Source organism: Homo sapiens, chromosome 4 (genome assembly GCF_000001405.40).
Source record: "Homo sapiens chromosome 4, GRCh38.p14 Primary Assembly".
Lineage (NCBI taxonomy): Eukaryota > Metazoa > Chordata > Mammalia > Primates > Hominidae > Homo > Homo sapiens.
The window spans coordinates 95,867,960-95,894,700 of NC_000004.12; the positions used below are offsets into that span (position 1 = coordinate 95,867,960).

Here is a 26,741-nt window from a genome sequence, read left to right on the forward strand (position 1 = left end):
ATCCTGGGAATGTCTTAATTTTATATTCATTTATGAAGGCAAGTTTAGCTGAATTCTCAATGAACAGTATTTTTATTTCAACACTTTGGACATGCTACCCACTGTCTTCTGACATCCATAGTTTTACATGAGAAGTCAGCTGTTAATCTTATTGAAGATTCCAGATAATTGATGTAAATTTTCTCTTGAGGTTTTCAAGAAAAAAAAAAAAGGTGTTTGAATTACATCATTTGACTCTGACCATTCTAGCTGTGGGACTTTGAATCTGTTCTATGTGGAGTTTATTGATCTTGGATGTGTAGATTAATATGTTAAAAATTTTGAAATTTTCCAGTCTTTTTGCCAATGTGTCTCTCTCATCTCCTCTGAGACTTCTGTTTATTTTGGTACACTTAATGGTGTCCCATAATTCTCTGAGGTTCTGATCATTTTCTTTTTTCATTTCCCATACTGCTTATAAGATTGGATTATCTCTATTGACCTATCTTCAAGTTTCTTGATTCACTCTTCTGCCAGCACAAATCTAGTGTTGAGACACTCATATTTTTGTTATTTGTCTTTTTAAGTTCACAATTTATATCTGCATTTTTAAAGCAAATATAAATTTGATATACTTTATTGATATCTTTTTGGTGAGAGGTAAACATTTTTATTTAGTTCTTATATATACATAATTTCTATTTTTATTTTTAAAAATACATTTTTTGAAAAATATGGAATGCTTCATGAATTTGTGTTGCATCCTTTTGCAGGGGTGATGCTACTCTTCTCTGTATTATTCCAATGTTAGTATAAGTGTGATTACTGATTTTTTTATTTTGTGAGGCATTACTGTCTTTACATTTCTTGAGTGCTTTACACATGATCTTGTTAATTCTTTGAACTTCTCTACAATAACTTAAGACATTGTCTTCTAAGATCAAAATCTGGGACTCCTCAGGGACATTTTCTGTTGGCTGTAAATGTGTCATGCTTTCCTTTTTCTTTGCATGTTTCATTTTTTAAAATTGAAAATATTATATATCGTAGCCATTCTGGTATCAGTCCTCAACCCTCAAGATTTGTTCTTGCTTAGACTTTGAAAATTTTTATTGTTGTTGTTTTTCTTGCTTCTGCTTATTTGTTTAGTGACCTTCCTGAACTAATCCTGTAGATTCTGTATTCCTTTCGGTGTGCAGCCACTAAGCACTGTACTATATAGGTTGAGTAGTCCTAATAAAAAAAATCTGAAATCTGAAATGCTCCCAAGTCTGAAATTTTTTGAGTGTGTTGACGTTATGCAAAAAGAAAATGCTGATTGAAGTGTTTCCGATCTCTGGATTGGAAATGCTGAACTGGTATAGATAGTGCAAATATTTATAAATCCTTCCAATTTCAAAATCCAAAACACTTTTTGTCCCAAGCATTTCAGATACTAGATACACAACCTCTCTCCTTCCCTCTCTCTCTCTCTATATATAGATATACATAGAAATATCTAGATATCTATCTATCTATCTATCTATCTATCTATCCATATATGTTTGTTGCGGCACTAATCACAACAGCAAAAACTTGGAACCAACCCAGATGTCCATCAATGACAGACTGGATTAAGAAAATGTGGCACATATACACCATGGAATACTATGCAGCCATAAAAAAGGATGAGTTCATGGTAAATGACAAGTTAATGGGTGCAGCAAACCAACATGGCACATGTATACCTATGTAACAAACCTGCACATTGTGACATGTACCCTAGAACTTAAACTATAATTAGAAAATATAATTTTTTAATTATAAATATTAATTTACAATTAAATTAATTTAATTATATTAATTAAATTAATTATATTAAATTAATTTAATTATATTAAATTAATTATATTAAATTAATTTAATTATATTAAATTAATTTAATTATATTAAATTAATTATATTAAATTAATTTAATTATATTAAATTAATTTAATTATATTAATTTAATTATATTAAATTAATTTAATTATATTAAATTAATTATATTAAATTAATTTAATTATATTAATTTAATTCTGTTCTGTCCCACAGAACAGTGTCCCACAGAACAGTGAATGTTTTGTCAGAAATCACAGCTGTAAAACCTCTATTCCCTGGGTGCTGTGGCCAGTTAATTTGATTCAGAGCTCAACTCAGTATGGAAAAGAGGGGCCCCAACCCCATGGCATTACCAAAACAATAGCAATTTGCTGGCAACATCACAGCTAGTGAAGGCTGTGGTTGAGTTGGAGCAAACAAGTTGGGGAGGGATTTAAAAAGAAATCCCAGAGAATCAGTTGACCACAGAAAATTCTGAAATGCTGCAACACATTCATGGGGATTTAACTGAAGGGCTATGCCTAAGTCCAGGGAAGACATGGGAAAGGAGGCATTAGTCATTTACATTTGACTGACCTTGCAGATATGAACGAGCAGAACCCTGCAGAAGCAGGAAGTGAAAGCTAAAGAAGTGTTGAAAACTGCCTGAAGTTTGGATGTGCCTTATCACCCTTTGAAAGGTGGTAGATACACAAGAAAGGCATTTAAGAAAATCTTCTGATGGACCATTGGCTGACCACTAAATTATACTGACCTAGATGTGAGCCCTAGAAAGGCAAACTTAAAAACAAGAAAAAAAAATATAGAGAGCTATATAGATATATTTAGATATATGTCTAGATACAGAGATAGAGCTATATATAGACAGATATCTAGATATAGAGATAGAGCTATATAGATATATATATATAGATATATCTCTAGGTATAAAGATATCTATATATCTCTGTATCTACTTGTTAATTACCTATCCTATTTATATCTGCATTTTCAAGTAAAATTTATATTTGTCATGCTCCTTCCATTTTAAAGTTGCTTAGTACCCCCTCTCTCTCTTCCAGGTAAAATATGCATTTGTAAAGGTAGAAGAGATATGAGTATTATTACATAGTTTTTATTTATATGCTCAAATTTCACATATAAGTTTTTCAGTTGATTTCTATTATTTATTACTTTTTGTTATTGCTTTTCTCAATGTTCTCATCTTTCAAATGTGACTTGCTTCTATATTTAGTTTATGAAAAATAATTAAATTCCATGAGATTATTCCCTAGCTAGTCTTAGTAATTCTGAATTCCAGATGGAATAAGAGTTACATCTATTACATTTTAACAAATACGTTTATATACATTCTCTAATATAAGATAGGATATTTCAATTTTATTGCAGTAAATTTATGGCAATAAATTTACATTTATATCCTTTATTTACATTATATCCTTTGCATAAAATCAGTCGGTGAATCATGGCTTAAAAATACATCTTCAATTAGTTATGCAGCAATAATGTCCCCAATATGTATTATCATTTACAATTATAATTTGCTAGATGATACAGATGAGATGTAGTAATGAGTAATATAATTGCCTTTTTAATGCTGTAGTAGGTATGTTGTGGTCATTAATTATCAACTTGACTAATTATTATTGGTAACAATTAATCTTTCCTCTGATAATTATTGCTGATGAATATACATGTTTTGCCCCCATTACCTTTTACCATGACATGAAGATGATATATGTGATTATTAAACTACAGACTGTCTAAAACAGAGTTAAATAATTTGATATAGTAAAGGTATCCTTGAGCTCAGATAAATTTTCATTAAGCCATGGAACTGCAAAAGGCATTTGACCTAATGACATTTTTCAGATATTAAGGTTATCTCATTCCCCACTCTCCCTCGCAGATTTGTTTCTTTGTATTTCATATATGACGGTGCAGAGCTTCTGGCTGCCTTAAATAGAGGAGTTATTCAGAAGTGTGCTTCTGTAAATGAGAGGGTGTATGTAATCTTAGCACTGAGAAAAAGGAGTAGAAAAAAAGTCTTACAATGCTAACTCTTAAAAATTCTTCATAGTAATTACCAAATTTCATGCAGATGTTCTTCAACTTACGAGAGGGTTGTATCCTGATAAGCTCATTGTAAGTTGAAAATATCTCAAGTTGAAAAGACATTTAGTACACCTAACCCACCAAATGTCATAGTTTAGCCTAGTGTACCTTAAAAGTATGCAGAACACTTATATTAGCCTAGAGTGGGGAAAAAATAATCTAACACAGCATATTTTATAATAACATGTTGAACATCTCATGTAATTTATTAAGTACTGTACTCAAAGTGAAAAACAGAATGGTTGAATGGATACTCCAAATACACTTTCTACTGAATGCATATAGCTTTTGTAACATCATGAAGTTAAAAAATTGTAAGTTGAACCATTGTAATTCATGGATCATCTGTGTTTACAAATACCTGTGACCAATAAAACATTTATAAGAAGAAGGGTAGATCTTGTATTTTTTGTGTTCCCAGCACAAGAATAGTGCCTGGCACCCAGTAGATGCCCAAGAAATATTTGCAGAATGTATAATTAAATAGTGAGGTGAGCTAAATGTTCTGTAACAATGAGAAGCTGATGTAAGCCAGTCATTGGTAATTGTTAATTTTCATCAAAGAGATCATTCAATAAGCTTTCACAAAAATAACCTCTACTCTAACATTTACCATTCAAATACACTCTGAGAAACATATTGACACTCACTGAGAAAAAAAAATAAATGTGAGACTCATGATACTGATTTTGAACAAAATTTGCTGCATCTTGGAGCAATAGAGGCTTACACTTGCTATGAGTTTATCAGAAACATTGTCATCAGAACAAACCTAAATTAACTCCTATTTTAAGAAGTCTAAACCAGTCAGTCCAGCTTATGCAGAAATATATTATCATAGCAATTATATTAAATGATTGGTCTAAAGTATTTTTAAAAGCAGATATTTGTGTCATTTTACTCAATTATTTTGGGGGAACATCTAAAATATATTTTATGGCTCAAAATGGGTTTCCAATATTGTAATCTTAATATATGATGTTGTAATTGTGGGAAACAGGGTTTAACTTGAGGTTTACTGATTTACGACTATCATCCAAGAAATAATAAAATAATTAGATAATATATTGGTTTCTTTGAAGAGAAAGTATGGGTGGTGAATGATGTATTCTTACAAACAATACAGGAGGAATTCATAGGCAGTGGTTTGTCTAAACAAAGAAGGGTTGTAGTAACCCGCAGTTTTTCTTACAATCAATATGAACCTGGGAAATGGCACTACTTAAACTAAATATACGATAAGGTAGTGGAAAGCCCTGTGGTTAAGAGCAGGAATTCCGAGGTCAGGAGACCCTGTGTTGGAGGCTCATCTCTCTATTTAGTATGAATTTTAACACAAGTTATTCAATTATTCTAAACCTAGTTTCATAATCTTTGAAACACTGGTTATGAAAATAAGATCATGTCATGGTATTATGGGAATTTCAAGTAGGTAATGCTTTTATTATGGTTGTATAATAGTGGCTGTATCAAAAGGTTGTTGATAGGATTAAGTATAGGAAAATTATTTAGTGTACTTGGCAACATCTAAATAAATACTATGTATTATTTATTATTGCTATTACAAAATATGCACAATCCAAATACTACAGAAACATTTTTAAATTACATGTAAATACAGATATAACTTTTAGACAAAACTATTTTCAAAATCAACAGTATCATATTTATTAAATAATTTGTCTCAATCCATCAGTAAGTCTGTTGAAGAACATTTTTTTGTTTTCTGAAATATTCTCTTTAAGCCTAATTGATATTCTGTCCTCTAATGTGAGGAAGTATGTAAGCAGAAGGATGGTTCATAGCTAGTCACTTTATTCCTCCAGGTCATTCTAGAGAGAATTTTAATGTGGATTTCACATTGCATCACTGGTATGGGTGGCTTATTTTGTCTGACTCTCTAAATAGACTCATGCTGGAACCTTACTCCATTTGTGATGTCCTTCAACATTTGACCAAGCATACTTTGTCAGATTGGTCTAAACTCTATAGTGGTAACAAAATTAAAACATTTTATAATCTAGTACAGCCCACTCAGACATCATGCTCTTCTTTTATCTCTACTGAATAAATGCTCATGACTTGGCAAGTATTAAAGATTTATCTATTTATTAACATCTTACTCATGAGGATAAAACTCTTGAAATATTACAGCTCATTTTCAAGAATGTCCTTGGGATGGAAAGCAGATATATTTTTTGTCACATTACATTTTCAAACCATGTAGGTCACTGTCATAAAGCAGTCACTAGAAAAGTTAAATGAAACCGCATTATGCAATAGATTTTTTTCATATTTTAGATACATATACATTTATATAATACTTGACTGTAAATTTTGATGGCAGGGCTAAGTACTCTGTGGAGAGATTGCTAAGCTCTTAAGAAGGTAAACAATTTTTGGAATGGAAAGAATTGTATTTTTCATTGAATGGTGGCAAAATTTTTGTCTACCTTTATTAAGAAAATTTTATTTATTTTGGTTAAAAATTAAGTGAAAAATATGGTAGAGGGTCTTGCCTTGCTATTCCATTTTCTCTGTCTGACTCTTGAATGCTTTATGCATAGAATAGAATTATTGTGGGGGGTAAGGGGGTAGGATGCCAGTTTATCAGATAGGGCAAAATATCAGTTTTTCATCCCAGTTGGCTCCAGAACATTTGCTAGCAGTCCTCAATTGCTATTGTGAGGAGTGCATTAGGTGCTAGTGTGGATTTTAGCATGGTGGTTAAGACTGTAGGATTGGAATTGGCCAAGACTGGATTGTATCCAATTTCCATTACTTAATAATCTTTTTCCTTAGTTAGCTTATGTGTAAAAAGGGTGTAATAACAGTGTGTTACTGGATGGTTGTATGGGAAAAAAAGGATAGTTTAGTACAACACCTAGAAAATATAAGCACTTATAAAAATAAAAGCTATTATTTCCCCTCACATTATAACATTCCCTCAATAAACTATGATTCTCTAAAAAATTAATTTATCTATTTCTCTTTTTTAAAATTTATTTTTTCAGGCTGGGCCACTTATTACCTAGAAGAGTAAATTATGTGAGCATAATTCCCATTCCTGAATTAATGCTTTTTATTTGTTACACTTTAAATATGGTAGGTTTCTTTTCTTAGTTCATGATAAGTCATTCAGTCAGTCAGTTCACATTGAACACACCCTCTGTGCCAGTTGTTTCTTTATGCCAGTAGGAGCTGGGATAAAAAAACATAAAAGTTAAATAGGTACCCTGGCTTCAAAGAGCTTGCAGTTTAGTGATAAAGAGAGGCCTGCAAACAGGCAATTGCCTTGCCATGTGATAAGTGTTCTACAGGGAGCAGTGCATGGTGCCACAGGAGCCTATAGTTGGTGTTGGAGACATAATGTTTAAACACAGACCTGAAAGTTGAGTAGGAGGAAGCCAATCAAAATGTGAGGAGGAAAATAATCCACCCAGAAGAAATAGAATGTGCAAAAACCTGTAATGAAGAGTGAACATGGTATATTCAAGAATCTGAAATAAGGTATTTTTGGTTTTGGTAAGAATGCAGAGTGAAATTTCAAAGGTAACAAGCCATTCGGCAGGAGAAATAAACAAAGGCAAGATCACGAATGGATTTTTACATTTTGATTAACTTTTCCTTTATTAAAAAAAAAGAGAAGCCACTGAAAGATATCAAGTAGGGTAAGAAATGATGGCTACTTGTTTAGGAAGTATAATTTGGGGGCAGAGGAAACTAAGGGACAGAGGTCAAAACCAAAGACAAGAGAATAACATAGGAGGCTACTGTAGTAGTTGAGGTAGAAAAGCACGGATGTATACCCTAAACTAATGCCAGAAAGAATTGCAAGAAGCAAATGGACTTGCTAGATGTCTAGAAAGTTGACTCATCAAAACTTTGCAAAAATTTGGATGATGTCTGTGGTAGCAATAACAACAGTTAATACTTACATGGCACTTACTATGTTCCCATACTCATCTAAGTGTTTTGCTTATATTAAGCCATTTAATACGCCCAGAAAATGTCTCAGTTAGATAGTATTATAATTTCTGTTTTAGATGAGCAAACTGAGCAACAGAACATTTAAGTAACTTGTCCAAATTCACATAGCTAGTGGGTGGGAAAGCCAGGGTTTCAACCCAGGCATTCTGGCTCTGAAATGTAAGCTATTTAGTACGAGGCTACTCTGCTGATCCAAATGACAGTTACTGATTTAGTATTCATATTCAAAGTACTGTGTCAAGTACACTATAGTCATTAGTTTGTTTAAATGGTGGCAATTGATGAAGTTGAAGAAGACACAATTAGGTTTCTTGCTTAGTTACAAAGATAGGGAGCGCAGCAGACGAGCACAAGTTGAAAATCATTAATTGAATTTTAGTCAAGCTTATTTTGGGTTGCCTTTGAGTCACCCAAACAGAGGTGTCCAGTAGGCAGTTTAATGTACATGACTAAAAGACTAGAGAGTTATTTGTCCTGGAGATAAGGGGGGAGGGATATCATTAGGAGATATACCTAATGTAAATGACGAGTTAATGGGTGCAGCACACCAACACGGCACATATATACATATATAACAAACCTGCACATTGTGCACATGTACTCTAGAACTTAAAGTATAAAAAAAAAATTCTGAATTCACCAGCATATGGATGTTAGCTAGAGACATATAAATGTTCAGACAGAGACTATTACAGAAAAGGAGGCTTGGAGAAGGACACAGAAAAAGATCAACTTCAATGCCAGGACAGAGAAAGATGACTAGAAAGCAGGATAAGGAATGGTCAAAGAGTTGGGGGGAAAATGGAAAATGTGAAGTTACACAAGTCAAGATAAGAAAACTTTTCAAGCATGACAGAGTGGCCAAATTAACAATGTAAAATACTACAAAATGTCTAAGAAACTTAAGTCCTGAAAAATGCCTATTCAATATAATATAGAAGTCATTGGTGATCTTAGGGTAGGAAGTTTTAGTTGGTTAGTGGAGGCAGAAGCCAAATTTCAGTAAGTTAAGAAGTGAGTGCAAGGTGAGGAAGTGGTGATAGAAAATCTAGACAAGGGATTCAAGGACTTTAGCTGTAATTTGTAAAGGAAGAGTTAGGTGGTAATTGAATGGTGGGTGAGTACGTGTGAAGAGAATTTATAGATCGGTAGAACAGTAGATAGTCCAGAAATAAAGCCACACTTGTGTAGTCAATTGATTGTGCCAAAAAAATTCAATGTGGAAAAGTAGCTTATTCAAGAAATTGGTATTGAAAAAACTGCTAATGTGTGAAAAGAAATCTTGATTCCTGATTTAGACCACAAGTAGAAATTAACTAGAGATGGAAGATAGATCTGAAGAACAATTAAAGGATAAAGAGTCTAGAAAAAACATGATTTGGGATAGGAAAATATTTACTCAACAGGTCACAAACTAATATTTAGAAAAGAAAAATATAGTATATAATTTATTAAAGTTCATGTATTCTGCTCATCAAGACACTTAACTGAATGGGAGGCTAGCAGAAAATACATGCAAAATATATACACATTCGTTATAAATAACTTATACCAAGAATATATAATTACAAAACTCAATAATAAAATGACAACCCAAGAAAATGGGTAAAATTTTGAACAGACACTTTACAGTAGAAAATATATAAATGGCCAATAAACATACAAAACATTAGTCAAAATCATTAGTCATTAGAGAAATGCAAATTTAAACCATAATGAGATACCTCTACATACACAGTAAAATGACTAAAATTAAACAGATTGATAGCAAATGTTGAGGACATGAAGTAACCAGAAATCACATAAATTGCTGGTGGGTATATAAAATTCTCCATCATTGTACAAAAAATTTGTCAATTGCTTACAAAAATAAAAACATGCACCTAAGCCTTTGGCTGAGTAATTTCACTTGTATGCGTTTACCTAAAAGACATGAAAAGACTTGTATAAGAATGTTAATAGTAGCTTTATTCATAATAGCTTGAATTTGGAAATAATCCAAATTTCCTTCAACATAAGAATGATTAAAGTAGTGTATTCATATGGTATAATAATTTTCAGCAAAATAATAAAAATAAAAAAAGGAATATTGATAGCCACAAAAATATGTATAAAGCTCAGAGCCATCATGCTGTGCTAAAGAAGCTAGGCATAAAAGTTACCTATGTGTGATTTTATTGATATGAAATTCTATATTAGGTATAGTTAATTGATATTTTTGTAAAAATCGGAAAGTGGGTTGTCTTTGCGGTGGCAAGAATACCTGGGAAATGGGAATGCATAACTTTTCTGGCTAATGGAAATGTTCTATATCTCGAAGTGTGAATCATAACAAGTGGATGCATACAATTATGAAATTGTACACTTTTGATTTATACGCACTTTGTTGTATATAAATTTTACTTTAAAAAATGCCCTTAATATTGAAACCTAGTTGGTAGGTTTACTTTTTGCAGTAATAGAAGATGGCAATTCTGAAACCCCTTTCTGTGTATTCTAGGCTTGAACAAATGAGTAAATAGATTGAGGAATATGGAAACAAAGTCTTCCATTATGGAGGGGAGGAGATATTAATAAAGAATAAATTAAGAACATATTACAATCTTATATATGGAGTGGTATATGGAATTAGAGATTTATGAACTCAGTTTTAAATACATATAAAATAAATGTAGATATGAGCATATATAAATTTGATACATAAATGTAATACTTATACATAAATATGTATACAAATATTCATATTTTCCTAGCTCCGTTTGCTGAAAGGCCTGAGAAATCATGATGCAGCAGTAGCTATGAGCCCACTTAGTACTTGGATCTTGGTTTCTAAATATTACCATTCACCAAAAAGTACCAGGACCTCTTAAAGAAAAGCCTGCTTCCAAAGCTGGGGCAGGGAAAAGTACAAGAAGAGCTAGGAATATCTCGTTGTGGGAGGAAAAAAAAGAAAGTTCTTAAAGAATGACATGAATACTCAAAAGGACACAAGATTTAACTTGAGAGGAATCTCTCTTAACCAAATCCAGGAAAATTTGACTTCCAAAATAATGATAGAAATTGATTATAGCCCATTGAATAAAGTAAAAATCTATAAGTTGATATTGGTATATATGAATGAATGCATGCATGAGTCACTGAACAGTAAATTAATAAATTAAAAAGGGAAAACCTTTATTTATAGAATATCAACTAATAAAAGGAAAAGAGAAAACTTCCCACAACATTCTAAAAGAGCAACTGGTCTCACATAAAACGAGGAACACCACTTACATCCTACGAGTGGGAAAGAGAAAAGAGTATGCAGATATGGGAATGTTTTATATTTGTAGTTGAGAAAGAAAAATATTTCATTTTTCTTTTTGGTGGTGATGGTGTTTTCTCTCTGTCAAGTATGATGTCTGAAATGGCTGTCCAGAAAATGGGCATGATATCAAATTAGAAAATATGGAAGGACCTTGAGGAGCCTATTGATGTTGGAAATAAAGAATCTGTAATGATCCAAACTGGCAATCAGGGTTACTCTTTCATTTTATCAGCATTCTGTTCTATCCCTACCTATAATTTGAAATTGTATGGTGAGGAATAAATGTCATTTTTCTTTGAAAACTCATTTATAGAACATTCTTGTCAGTTTACGTTTTCACATGCTTATAAACTGCAATTTTCTCTTAGCAATATCCAAGTGAGACAGAGCTAAAAGTAGGGCCAGCATTAACTCTTTGCTGAATCTAAAATTAAATAGCTTTTACTCCTTCGCTTTGGAGGGCAGAAGTCCCTTCTTTTGTTAATTAAAATTTTTATTGAGATAACTGTAGAGTCACATGGAATTCTAATAAATAATACAGAAAGATCCCCTGTATACTTTATCCAGTTTCAGTCAATAGTAACTTTTTGTAAAACTGTAATGTAGTATCAGAGGCAGGATAATGACATTAATGTAATCTACCAGTCTTACTCATTTCCATCATTTTACGTATACTCATTTATGTTTGTGTATGTATATTTACTTTGACACAATGTTATTAGATATATATGTCTGTTTATGCACCAGCACAGTTCAGGTACTGAAGGTTTCCAACTCCTCAAGTATCTCTTGCATTGTTTTTTACAGCCATTCTTATTCCTCTCCCACTGACCATACCTTCCATTTGTAACCCCTGGTTGCCACTAATCTGTCCTCAATCTTTTAAAATTGTTATTGCAAATATTTTATAAATGGAATTGTACAATATGTAACTTTTTGAGGTTGTTTTTTAAATTTAATTCAATTCCCTGAGGATTCATCCTAGTTATGTGACTCAGAAGTTTGCTCTTTTTTAATGCTAAGTATATTCTATGGTATGTATGTACCAGAGTTTATCTTTTGAAGGACAATTTGAACTGATTCCAGTTTTGGGCTTCTACAAATGAAGCTGCTATGAACATCCATACACAAGTTTTGGCAAAAACAATTTTCATTCTTCTGGGAAAAATGACCAAGAATAAATTTGCTGAGTATTAGTGTATTAGCTAGGGCTGCATAGCAAAATAACAAAGACTGGATGGCTTAAGCAACAGAAATTTATTTTCTCATAGTTCCGGAGGAAAGAAATCCAAGATCACGGTGCTAGCAGGGTTGGATTCTTCTGAGGCCTCTTTCACTTGCAGATGATCAACCTTTTGCTGTGTCCGCATGAGGCCTTTTTCCTGTTCATACAAACCCCTGGTGTCTCTTATAGGAGGCCAGTCATCTTGGATTAGGGTCCCACCCATATGAACTCATTTAACCTTAATTGCCTTTTTAAGGTCCTGTCTCCAAATACAGTCACAGTGGGAGTTAGAACTTCAATATATGAATTTTGGGGGCATATAATTCCATCTATAACGTATAATTATGGGGTATTTTACTTTTATAAGAAACTGCCAAACTATTTTCGAGTATGGCTATGCCATTTTGCATTCTCACTAGTATTCTACAAGTGATTCAGTTTCTCTGCATCCAAACATCCTTGGTATTGTCACTATTTTTAATTTTACCCAATTTGTAATCTCAAGTTGTATTTTCCTGATGGGATATATGTCTATGCTTAACATCTTTTCATGTCCTTATTTATCATCTGTGTATCATCTTCAGTAAAATGTCCGTTCACTTCATTTGCCTATTTTCTAATTGGATTGTTGAATTTTTATTGCTCAGTTTTCAGGGTTCTTTATATATTCTAGATACCAGGCCTTTGTTCAATAAATATTTTTCAAATATTTTCTCCTAGTCTGTAGCTTATCTTTTGATCCTTTTAATAGATGTTTTTGTACAAAGAAAAACTATTTAATTTTAATGTGGTCTAATTTGTCAGTTTTTTCCTTGTATAGGTTTTGGAATCAATTTAAAAACTCTGCTGAGAGCTAGATCCCAATGATTTTCTATTTTTTCTAAAAGTTTCATAGTTTTATATTTTACATTCAAGTCCATAATCTATTTTGAGTTAATTTTCATATGGTATAAGATTAGGTCAAAGCTTAATTTTTTTGCCTATGGATATTCAATTGCTCCAGTGCCATTTGTTGCAAAGGCTACTTTTTTTCTGCATTGAATCATTTTGTATCTTTGGCAAAATTCAGTTGGTATATCTGTGTGGGTCTATTTCTGAGTTCCACATTTTGTTTCGTTGGTCTATTGTTGAAGCCCTCAATCATACTACATATCTTGATAACTGGAGCTATATAGCAAGCTTTCCATTTCAGGTAGATTAATTTTTCCCACTTTATTTTTCTTTGTCAAGATTGTTTTAGTTACTCTAGAGCCTGTGGTTTTCCATATAATTTAAAAAATAAGCTCATCTATATCTACAAAACTTCTTCCCGATTTTTTTTACAGGAATTGCATTAAACTTACAGATCAGTTTGGGAGAACTCATATTTTTACTGTGATGAATCATCATCCAATCCATGAGCATAGTATGTCTGTCAATTTAGATTTTTAAAATATATTTCATGACAATTTTGTAATTTTCAACATATGTAATGTACATAGTTTGATAAGTATATACCTACATAATTCATTTTTTGAGTAACTGTTAATGTTATTGTTTTTAATTTTGTCGTATCTTCATTGTCAGTATGTGATTTTCTTTTGTGTGTTGATCTTATATCTTACCTCCTTGATGAACTCACTTATCAGTTCTAGTACTACATTTTTATATTCCTTGCTATTTTCCATACATTTAAGGAAGTCATCAGTAAATAGAGATAGTTTTATTTCTTTGTTTCTGATCTGTATGTCTTTTTTCTCTTTATTGCCGTGGCTAGATTCCTTGGTATTTTCTATACATTTTAGGGTCTGTGGTATTTTTAGATTATTTAGTATTTTCTATGCATATACACAAGTCATCTGTAAATAGACATAGTTTTATTTGTTTCCAATCTGATTTTTTTATTTATTGCAGTGGCTAGATTCCTTGGTATGTCCAATGCATTTTAGGTTCCTTTGTATTTTTACAGTCCTTGTTATTTTCTATGCATATGAGCAAATCATCTGTAAATAGAAACAGTTCTATTTTTGTTGTTTCTAATCTGTATATTTTTCTTTATTGGAGTGGCTAGAACTTCCAGCTACATATAGAATAAGAGTGGTGAGAGCAGACGTCCTTGCTTTGCACCCTATCTTAGGGACAAAGCATCTAATCTTTCACCATTGGATATGATGTCATCTGTAGATATTTTGCAAATGGCTTTTACTAAACTCAGGTAATTCTCATCTATTCCTAACTTGCTGAGAGTGTTTTATTATGCATAGCTACTGGATTTTCTCAAATGCTTTTCTGCATCAAATGATATATGTTTTTCTTCCTTAGCTTGTTGATATGATGAATTACACTGATTTTTTTTAAAGTTGTAACAGCCTGGCACAAGGGGAAAAAAACCACTTTGTTATGGTATGTAATTATTTTTATACATTAATGGATTAAATTTGCTAATATTTTGTTTCAGATTTTTGTACTTACATTCATGAGAGATGTTGGTCTGTATATTTCCCTGTTTTTGTTGTCCTTTCTGGTTTCGTCATCAGGATATTTGCCTCATGAAATGAGTTGGAAAACATTCTCTACCATTCTGTGTTCTTGAAGAGATTGTATAGAATCAGTTTTAATTCATTTTTGATATTTGGTATAATTCTGCACTAAAACCATCTAGTTCTGAAGATTTCTTTAGTAGGAACTTTTAAATTACCAGTTTTAAATTACTTTAACAATTATACAGCTATTGACGTTATGCACTTCATTTTTGTTGAATTTTAATAGTTGATAGTTTTGAAGGAATTATTCCATTATTTTTAAATTGTTAAATTTATGAGCAAAAGTCATTTGTAATATTTCCTCATTATCACTTTAATGGCTATAGGATCTGTAGTAATATCTCCTATTTCATTCCTGATATTGATTTGTGTTTTTTGTATATGTTGCTAGAGATTTATCAATTTAACTGATTTAAAAAAAACCTCAGTTTTTTCCTAATGATTTTTTCTATTTTTTTCTATTTTCAATTTCACTGACTTTTTGCTCTTATCTTTGTTTCCTTCATTTCTTTGGGTTTATTTTTCTCTTTCTTTCTCTAGTTTCTTAAGATAGAAAATTGATTTGAGATCTTTCCTCATTCTAATGTAAGCCTTTTGAGCTATAAATTTTCCTCTATGCACTGCATTAGCTACACCTCACATGTAGGCTGTGTTTTTGTTTTCATTTACCTGCATATATTTTTAATATCCATTGACACTCTTTATCCATGTATTTAGAAGTGACTTATTTAATTTTCATGTGTCTAAAGATTTTTCTGTTTTCCCTTTTTTGTTTTCTAATTTTATTCCATTATAGTCAGAGAATATACTATGTATGATTACACTTTAAAATTCTTTAAATTTGTTTAAGTTTGTTTTATGTTCCAGGATATGGTCTTGGTAACTTTTCCATGGGTGCATGAGAAAATATATATTGTGCTATTGTTAGGTGACATGTTTTATATTTGTGAATTAGATCCTGCTGACTGATGTTGTTCAGATCTTCTATTTTCTCACTGTAGGTAGTAATTTTATCCGTTGCTGAGAGGAAGATGTAGAAGTCCTTGACCATAATTGTGGATTTGTCTGTTTCTCCTTTCAGTTCTATCAGCTTGTGCTTCCTGTACTTTCAGGCTCTGTTGTTTGATGCATGCAGTGTTAGAATCACTATGTCTTTCTAAAATATTGATAACTATCATTATTTGTCTCTAATAATTTTCTTTGCTCTAAATTCTACTTTATCAGATACTAACATAGCCATTACTGTTTTTCTTTGATTAATGTTTGCATCACATATATTTTTCTATCTTCCTACTTTCAACCTACGTCTGTCAAATTTGAAGTGTTTCTATGGGCTATAGTTGGATTGTGTTTTCATATCTACATTGTCCATCTCTGTGTTTACAGTGGTATACTTAAGCAATTAACATTTAAGGTAACTATTAACATGATGTTGCTTAAAACTGCCATTTAATTTGCTTTCTATTTGTTTCTCCTGTTTCTCATTCCTCTTCCTGTTTCTCTATTCTTGCCTTCTATTGGTTACCTGAATATTTTTTAAGATTTCATATTGCTTTATTTATTGCGTTATTTAGTGCATCTCTTTGTGGAGTATTCATAGGATTATTCTATAGATATATCTATATCTATCTAAAATCTGTTATCATTTGAATTTGTGTTTTTGTAGTGTCTCTTCCAGTTGCTTTCAAAATTTTTCTTTGTCTTTACTTTTTGAAAGTTTAATTATGATGTGTCTTGACATGGATTTCTTTGAGTTCATCTTGTTGGAATCATTCAGCTTCTTGGATCTGTAGGTTTGTATCTTTTGTAAAATTTGAAAAGTTTTCAGTTATTTTTTCAAACATTCCTTCAGACTCACTCTTTCTCTTCTGAGACTGATGATACAAATTTGGATCTTTTATATTGTTCTAGAGGCTCCTCAGTCTCTGCTGAACTTTTTCAGTCTATTTTCTCTGTTGTTTAGGTAAATTCTATGACCTGTCCTCAAACTCACTGTTTCTAATGTCTGTCATCTCCACTCCTATTATGTTCATGAAGTTTAACATTATGGGTTTTTTTCTATAATTTCCATTTAGTTATTTTTATAAGTATTCTTTCTTTACTGAAATTTTCTGTGTTGTCACTTGTTTCAGGATAATTTGAAATTAAATATTGAAGCATAGTAACGATGACTTCATTAACTATGATGAAAATCCATATTAGATAATTGCAACATCTGATTCATCTTAGTGTTATATCAATTGTCTTTTCTCACTTAGGTTGTGGTTGTCTTGGTTCTTGGAATAATAGCTAACTTTTAATTGTATCCTGGCCATTTTGTCTATTATATTAGGAGATTCTGGATTCTATTTCATTTTTTTAAAGCAGTTACCCTATTTCTAGCCTACTTTTTAATCCTGTAATTCTAATGGCAATTTAAATGTTAGAACCTTGGTGGTGTTATTTTGATCTGATTGGTTTATGTGGTACTGTAGGAATTCCCACTTGCCTGTTGATGTTCCCTGAGTGTGTGGAAGGAGTTTTCTCAGTCTGGGTTGCTGTGTCTCTCACAGTGGCAGAAGGGTGGCAAGGGATCCACTACCCATGACCCCTACTTCACAGTTTCTCTGAGTAGGGAAGATGATTCTCAGGTCAGGAGTGTAAAAGAGATGTCCTAGGTCTGGCAGCTTGTTGTTACTGGGTCCCTATTGCTGATTCTGCCACCAGCGCTAGTGACCCTGGACAGAGAGGAGTTTTCTAGGCCTGGGTAATTACCATTGTTGAGTCCTCTTGCCTCTTTTGCCCATCTGACATAATTCTTCCTCAAAGGAAGTTGCGTAAAAGAGACTCCTCAGGCAGGAATTCTTGCTATGGCTTGGTCCCTCTAGAAGGTTCTGCTGGCTTCTCTTGCCTACCCAGTGTTGCTGGGTAGAAAATGGGTGTCTCAGGACCAAAGAGGCATCCAAGACCAAGCCAATTGTTGTGACTGAGTCCCTCCTGCTGCTTCCACTCATTGTTTCCAGTATCTCTTGGAGGGGAAGAGAATCTCAATCAAGTGGGAAAGGGGAGTGCTTCATGGCTGATTTAAATTGATGGGATTACTTGTTGATTGATCCTCCTTTTATTGGTGTCAGACTTGTCCAGTGTTCTCAGAGGTACTCTTAATTGATCTCAGAAGAGAAATTAGAATATGTGGGCTGCCTTCTGTTGCTAGGTTGGGATCAGCAAATGCCTGGTCTGACTTCATTTTCTCCTCTTGGTTGGGGTAAATGTAAGACATTCCCCGCTACTCTGTTTTTCCTCCAACCCTGGGATCCCAAACCGGTCTGTTCTCTTGTCACCTTCCAGAGTTCTTCTTTGGTTGTTGGTTGCATTATTTCCAGCTTACAGCTGTGCTTAGCAGGGAGGAGCAAGAAGAAGCAGGTCTATACCAGATATACTTGTCTGGAACAGAAGTCCCACACCATTTAATTTTGACAGTGATTTGTTTTTAATAGCTGTGCAAGAACTACACTTAATGCTTAACATCCATACCCCAAATATTTGAAAGTTTTATTTATCTTTTTCTCTTATATAAATTTTAAAGCAGTTTTGCAGCCCAATGATAATATATTATTCCTATAGAGGTAATTCACTAAGATTTATTTTTAAGTTCTAAAATCCTTTGATGATGACTTGATCTTTGCTATCATAGCTTAAGTGTAAAGTTTTCTGATAGCTCATTCAACCAAGGCTTTGTACCATTTATTGTTCACTGGAAACTTCTCTTAGAATGAGATTGAGCAGCTTTGCATAAAATGAGGAGGTAAGAAAGGATAAAAAGAAAGGGATATAAATTGGCTTAGTTCTAATATTTAAAAACATTTTGGAAGAGAAATATTATCTTTGACAAGAATAATGATGGGAGCGTTGAAGTGACTGGAGATACTGTGAATATGTACTTTGAAATTTAGATGTAGATTGAGCACAAAGAAAATACCAATTTTATTTGAAAAGATATATTTCTAATTAATAACTTTTCAACAAAGCTTTTCTAAGTTCTATCATGGCAAATAGAATTGTTAATTAAATGTTTAATGTTATTTATAAGAAACATAACAGTTTGGGGTTACTTGTTCAGTGTAGTCAAACTGTATATTTATGAGCTATTATCCAAACTTTAAATTAGAAACCACTGAAGAACATGTGCATATTGAACCTGTGTTCATTTTACAATATTTGCTGGCATAATTTTAGTGGGGAAAATTATTCAGACTTATATAATTCTAATAACTTTGGTTTTATGACATTGTTGGGTATATATATATATGATTTATTTGATGCCAAAACATTGGTTAGGAAGGCAATAGCTAATTATAACTTTTTCATGGTAAATCACTTTCATTTATATGGCATGGTTTCTACTAGCAAACTATGAAAAGTAGAAACTACTACTAATAAATGCTTCTGTGCATAAACACATTCACTGAGCAACTGAAACAAATTGCTCAGGATCAAAATTTGGTCGAATCATAGGACTCTGGAAGAATCACGTTATATATTGCCAATTTTGAATCATTATCACTACCACTCTTTTTCCCAATTTACCACAGTAAGTATTTGGTCCAGAATCTCTTCATCATTGACTCTGATGTATTTACTCTGTCAAGCAGATTTTGTCCTTTTTTTCCTTATGGTATCTAGTACTAAAAGAATTTTATTCCATACATTTTCTGAGAAAATCTAATTTGCTTTTCCAATTGCTTAGAATTAGTCTATTGGCAGACATGGAGGCCCTTAAGGAGCCATTTGCTCTCTCAGTTTAGTGTGCAGAACAAATTAGTACTTCCCAAAATAATACCAATTAAGCTAACGTTAAAAAGTTAGTATCTATGTTAATCTCAGGAGACAAGTTATCGCATCCCTCCAAAAGGGCTGCCACTCAAGGGCAATGCTTTTCAGATTGCATAGTATGCTACTTTTATATTATTCTCCGAAGATCTGCTTTTGCTAGATGCTATCTACCATTACTATTTCTACTGCTGCTGCTGCTGCTGACACACTATTACACTTATATACAGACACCATATTTTTTCAATCCACAAATTTTAGCATTCATTTTGACAATTGTACTGGGTAGGAGTTCAAAAGACCTGAATTCTTTTTCTAATTCTTTTAAAACTACTGTGTGACATTAGACAATCATTTTAATATTCTATCAGTCATTTCCTCATTTGAAAAATTAGCACACTGGACTAAATCAACTGGTGCGCTAATGCTCTTGGACCAATTTTGGTAAATAGTGTTTTATTGCAACATAGCCATGTTCCTTCATGTATGTATGTGTATAACTACTTTCATACTGCAACACCAGAGTTGAATATTTGCATCACAGACCCTATGACCTGTAAGCCTAAATATTTATTATGTGTACCTTTCAGAGAAAGTTTTTCAATCCTGGATCAAATGATCAAAGTTTTTTTTCCAGTTGTACACATTTATCACTCAAGAAGATTCTGGTGGAAAAAAAATCTTAGCCTGCCTACCAAATATGAAAATAGTTTTAAATTATTTAATTTTCTCTTGTGAAACTTCTCCAAATTACAAAGTCATCCCAGTTCATTTAAATACAGAGTTATCACAAGTGATAGTCCTATTGAGTGAAGACAGAGTGATAAACCCAATGGTAGTCATATTTTTTAGCAGTTTGCCCATTTTTCTAATACTTCAATATTGTCGTCTCAATTATAAGAGATGTAGCTTAATCCTAAATCCATCTACATTTATTGGGAGATTTTTATTCAAAGTCCATTTTGAAAAACAGTCACATTTCTCAAATTGTCAGAAATCAAATGGAAGAAAAAATATAAAGTGAAAATATAAATGACAAATTCCTAAATTTATAGGAAAAAAATGTAGATGTATATAGAGATTGGAAGTATATGTATGTTTACACTAATTGGTAGAAGATATTAACAGTGAAGGCCCTAGTTTTATTATACATCAGGGAGGATGATTGGCATTCATATTGGATTGATGCCTAATGTGTTTTCTTTTTCTGTGACTTTCAAAGCACTAAAATGAAAATATGTCAATTATGTGGCCACTGGGAAGTGATGAACCGTCAATTTTCAAATTAGTAAAAGATCTTAAAACCTATGATCAGGAACTTAATTGCACATTAGAGGCAAATTGGGAATTACTGCAGCATTGTGAGAAGAGAGTGAAAACATCAATTTATTGTGAAACTTTTTGACTGAAGAATGGAAATAAATTACAGAGCACAACCAAAGTCACACCAGAGAAACCTAGGACAGTTATATAAATGAGATTTTCCTTCTCTCTTACTTCTTACAAGATCTTTATCAGCTGAGCTATCATATGTGTTTATCTTGTTTAATTTTAGTTTATATAAAATATTGTGGTAGAGTTTTGGCAAAAATGGGCACAACTATTCCCTCAATGGTATCCACATCTCTTGCAGTGTGGTTTTGGCGGTGCTGCCATTAAAACGTGGAGTCCATTTCCCTACAACTTAAATCTGGGCTGGCCTTATGACCTGGTTTGGCCAACTGAATTCAATAGAATTGTTTATATACTAGTTTTGAACAGACTTCATGAGACGTTTCTTTCTTCTACTCTTTCAAAGGAAGTCCCAATACCCTTCACATCACAATATTTTAAAAGCCCTATATAGTCTCTGCAGCATTGAAATAGGGTTGGCTTTTGTATTCAGTAGAATGCAGCATCAGAGACAGTTTCTGACCTCTTAAACCAGGTGAGAAGTACATTATGTCTGGACTTCTGGAGTAGTAACATGGGGAAGCCAGCTACCAGTTATAAGGACACACAAGCAGTCTCATGGAGAGAGTTTAACATGGAGAGAAACCTCCTTGTCAGTACCAGCTCGCCAGCCATATGGCTGAACTACCTTGGAGAGCGATCCTCACACCCTAGTCAGGCCTAAAGATGACTGGAGTTGCAGATGACATCTGACTACAGCCTCACAAGAAACCACAAGCCAGTATTGTCCAACTGAGCTGCTCCTGAATTCCAGCTCCACAAACCCTTCAATTGCTATCCTTTGACTGTTTGGTTTTTTTATATGTTATACAACTATTTCTAACAATAAAGGGTAACTGAACAGGGTACGGGGGCTTTAGCTGCATGAGGAACTATGGCCTGTTGGTGGTGGCAGAGGTAGTATGGGCAAGTATGATGCATTTAAATTTCTCTGTCTTAATAATTTGTTTCCCTACAATGAGCAAATTCTGATTCAAAATGTTTGTCCTTTTCTATTCATTCTTCGATTTCATGAGATTGTATTAATTTTATTTGTGTGTGTGTGTGTGTATATGCACGCACACACACACACACACACACTCACTCTTATTGTTTGATGTATCAGCTTTACATATCTTATATCTGGCTTGTTAAAGAGGAGGAGTTTGGCATAACTACATTACCACAAAAATTATTATAATCTTTGAGCTCTCAAATTTTGCTAGTTATACAAATGCTACATTAGATAGATAGATAGGTAGATAGATAGACAGATAGAGGTTGAGAGAGAGAGAGAGAGAAAGAAAAAGACAATGTCTCACTCTGTTGCCTAAGCTGGCCTGCAGTGATGTGATGATAGCTCACTGCAGCCTTGACCTCCTGGTCTCAAGCGATCCTCCTGCCTCAGTCTCCAGAATAGCTGGGACTACAGGCACATACCACCATGCCTGCCCATTTTTAAAAATAATTTTGTAGAGATAAGGGCTTTGCTAAGTTGCCCAGGCTGGTCTCAAACTCCTGGCCTCAAGTGATCCTCCTGCCCTGGCCTCCACTGGGATTATAGGCATAAGCCACTGCACCAAGCCCATCATCACTATTTTTAATCATAGTATTAACTATATTCCTTACATTTATGTTAATTGTCAAATATTTCCTTTCTGCTAGTTTTTAACCATTCATCTCTTAGTCGGCAGAAGTTTGTTCCTTAGGAGATAGTTTCTTCAAGAAGACTCATGGGAACTGAATTGCATGGCCACAACAATTTATTCTTGTCTTTATACTTGAATGGCTGGAAATACAATCATTAAGTCAGATTTTCTTTAAGGATTTTAAAGACATTGCTCTAATACTTTTTAGTATTCAATGTATTATTTGGAAAATCTGAGGTTAGCCTGACTGATTTTATACCAAGACTGAATTTAATATTTTTGATAAGCTGCCAAGGGTTCTTCACTTTTTTTTTTTTTTTAAATCTAACATTTACTAAGTGATTAGCATATGTTATGAAATAACTATACAGGAGGTTTAATCCTTATCCCCATTTTTATAGATAGAAAAACTGAGGCACAGAAAGTTAAGTGAGTTTCCCAGTGCCATACAGGAACTAAGTGACTCAAATTTTTCCAAAATAGTGGCAAGGGTCCCAGAAAGACTGATTCTCCAGTTCTAGGAATATTGAACTTGGGTTTTCTTTCTGTGTTGTCAATCCTGAACAACATGCATGTTGTATCCTTCTTCTCAGCATTCTTTGCTCATTTGCATAGATTCAATTTTTTAACGTTTTTTTTTTCTTTCTGTTGAAGCACTCCCTTTAACACTTTTCATAGTACAGATCTGGTGGTGAGAAATTCTCTGATTTTTGTCTAAAATGTCTACATTTTTCTTTGACTTTTGAAAGCTATTATTGCTGGGTATAGAATGCTAGTTGATTATTTGTTAGCACTCTAAAGATATCACTCCATTGTCTTCTGTTATGGAGTCATTCATATCTTGGTTCTTTCTGTGCATAATGTTATTTTAATCTCTTGTTGCCTTTAAAATTCTTTATTACTGGTATCAGCACATTCAGTTAAAATTTAGCTTGGTGTGGTTTTCTATGTGTTTATCTAGCTTAGAGTTCCTTGAGTTTCTTAGATCCCTTTAGAGCTTTCCTTAAATGACCAAAAATCCTGACCATTATTTTTTTAAGTCTACCTCTCTTTTTGTATTTTCCACTGGAGCTACCATTCTGTGTGTGTTAGACCACTTCAAATTATTGATTATTTATCCATTTCTTTTCAATCTTTGTTCCCTGTGTGAGTCACTTTAAATGATTTTCTGCCCTATATTTAAATTGTCTAATTTTTTCCCTGCGGGATCTAAGTTGCAGTTAATTCTATCCATAATACATTCATTTATTTTTCATCATTACAAGTTCCATCTGGCATTTATTTTTTATCTCAAATTTCTTTTCTTGTTATATTTTCCCTTTCATCCATGAGCATATTGAATGTATTTATAATAGTTTAACATCTTAGTTTGTTATTGATAGTTTCACCATCTCTGTCATTTCTGGATATGTTTCTACTGACAGAGCTTTCTCCTGGTTATGGGTCAATTCTACATCTGTCCTGATGAATAAAGAGCTTTTTATAATTAGTATTCACTGCTCAGAAATAAAGATTATATGCTGGGCTGAGAAAATACATTATTAAGGTGAAAAAATATACTCTATCAAAGCTCTTCAATCCTGTTTCCCATTTCCAGTTATAAAGAAATCACATAAAATCAAACATTTGAGAAAATTCAACAAATTCAAGGTGAATTGAAATCAAAACACAGACAAAATTAACATCCAAGGGAAAGTAACTAAACAGTAAAAAGGAAAAGTAAAATTTTAAACACATGAAATATTTGTACAAAATTTCTTTAGAATAATTCAACTGAAGAAAACAAACTAAAACACAACCAAACACTTTTGATAAGAAACAACTTCCTTTTGAAAGTTAAAAGCAGCTGCATGAAGAACAATTTCTCAATAGATAGGTAAAATAGCAGGGAGTGGGGGATACATGACAGAAGATTAAACAACTAACTTAGAAGATGGAACTGAGCATTTCTTCCAGAACATGAACTAAAAGAACAAAATGATGAAAAACATGGAAAGATGAAGAATAGAGCCAGGAGTTCCAACATTTGTCTAAGATTTTCAACAGTTGTCTACTTGGAAAATACATACAGAAGGAATATAATATAAAATAATAGAGAGAAAAAAATCTCTGAGCTGGAAAAACAACTAAACAAAATTGTTTCAGATTGAGAGACCAGCAGAAATACAAGAAAAGGCAAATATCTTAAATAGACTAATAAAATATTATAAATCCAAGGAAAAGAAAATTCTAAAAACAGAATAAAAATAAAAACAAAACAGATTTGCTAACAACAATTCCAAAGTTTTGTATTCATCTCTCCAGGAATATTTAAGAAATCTGAAGACTCCCCCACTTATTACTATTTTTAGTGTAAACAGGAATTAATCTAGGGACAAAATAGGTAAACAAAATTTTAATTGTGGGATTCCACTCTCCTTTTACCTTATTTTACCTTATTTTTTCCATGGCACTTGGTAGCTTTTTACATACTGTATAATTTACATATTTATGAAGCTTAATGGTTATGTTTCCTTTAAGGAGAATATAAGCTCCATGTAGGTAGGTGTTTTTGTTTACTGATTGCCCCCAAAACTTAGAATAGCGACTGAAACAAAATAGTTTCTCGATATTATTTGCAACATAAATTCTTTATAATAGAAAACATTGGAAGCTACTTTAATGTTCATCAATAAGAAAATGGTTATATGATATACAGTACATACCCAGATCATGTACTGGTTAAATAAAGTGACAAAATTCTGTATTATTGAATGCAAAATCACAAGCCCATCTGTAAGCATGTAAATGTCTAAAATAAGTAGTAAAGTATATTCTGAAATACTAAGTATAATTATTACCAGTTGGAATTGAGAAATGGTCAGTCAATAGTCAAGAAGTATTTTACAAAAGCTTATGTACCAGGTAATATTATAGGAATTGGGGTATACCAGTGAACAGGTTCTTACAGCAAAGATGATTACATTTTAGTGAGTAGAAAATAATTTACAAGCATAACTAAGATAATTTCAGAAACTGAGAAGTACTACAAAGAAGATAAAACAGGGTTGTATTGTGGAAATTAACATGGGAGATGTTGACTGTCTTTTATGGGTTGGTTGACTTATTTTATAGTTTGGTCTGATGGTATCTCTGAATGACGAACGTTTAAGCTGAAACCTGGATATGAGAAGGAGGGCAGTATAAAGATCATGAAGATTTAGAGAATAAGCATTGGAAGAAGAAAAAGGAAAGAACAATCAGCAAATGCAAAAGACCTGGGATGCAAATGTACCCAGCATAAGCGAAGGGCGAAGAAAGACCAAGGCATATGGAGCATAGCAAGTGAGGACACGGCTTGAGGGGACAAAATGAAAGAGGTAGGCCAGGGCCTCATTTCAGTCACTTGACTTCAACATTGGAGTGTGTGTTTAATGCGGGGAGCATCAGTGGTGATATGGCTTGGCTGTATCCCCACCCAAATCTCAACTTGTAGTTCCCATAATCCCCAGTGTCATGGAAGGGACAAGGTGGAAATAATTGAATCATAGGGCGATTTCCTCCATCCTTTTCTCCTGGTAGTAAGTTTCATAAGGGGCTTCCCCCTTGGCTGGGCACTCATTTCTCTCTCCTGCCACCATGTGATGAAGGACGTGTTTGTTTTCCTTTCCGCCATGATTGTTAAGTATCCTGAGGCCTCTCTAGACCTGTGGAACTGTGAGTCAATTAAATGTCTTTCCTTCATAAATTATCCAGTCTCGGTCAGTTCTTTATAGCAGTGTAAGAATGGACTAATACAAATGGGATTTCAGAAATTCAGAGTTGTGGTCTGATTCTCACTTATAACTGGTATCATGGTCAGGAGGACCAAGGGT

The 26,741-nt window shown here is 32.9% G+C and overlaps 1 pseudogene, besides 1 other annotated feature; it reads right to left on the reverse strand.

Moving 5' to 3' along the window:
• RNU6-1059P (RNA, U6 small nuclear 1059, pseudogene) lies at positions 708 to 805 on the reverse strand (annotated as a pseudogene).
• Positions 1,985 to 2,491: an enhancer, noted in NCBI's record as "NANOG hESC enhancer chr4:96791095-96791601 (GRCh37/hg19 assembly coordinates)". NCBI's record gives its function as "activates a minimal SCP1, AML or CMV promoter by ChIP-STARR-seq in primed H9 embryonic stem cells {active_cell/tissue: H9 hESC(primed)}" and the evidence as "EXISTENCE:reporter gene assay evidence [ECO:0000049][PMID:30033119]".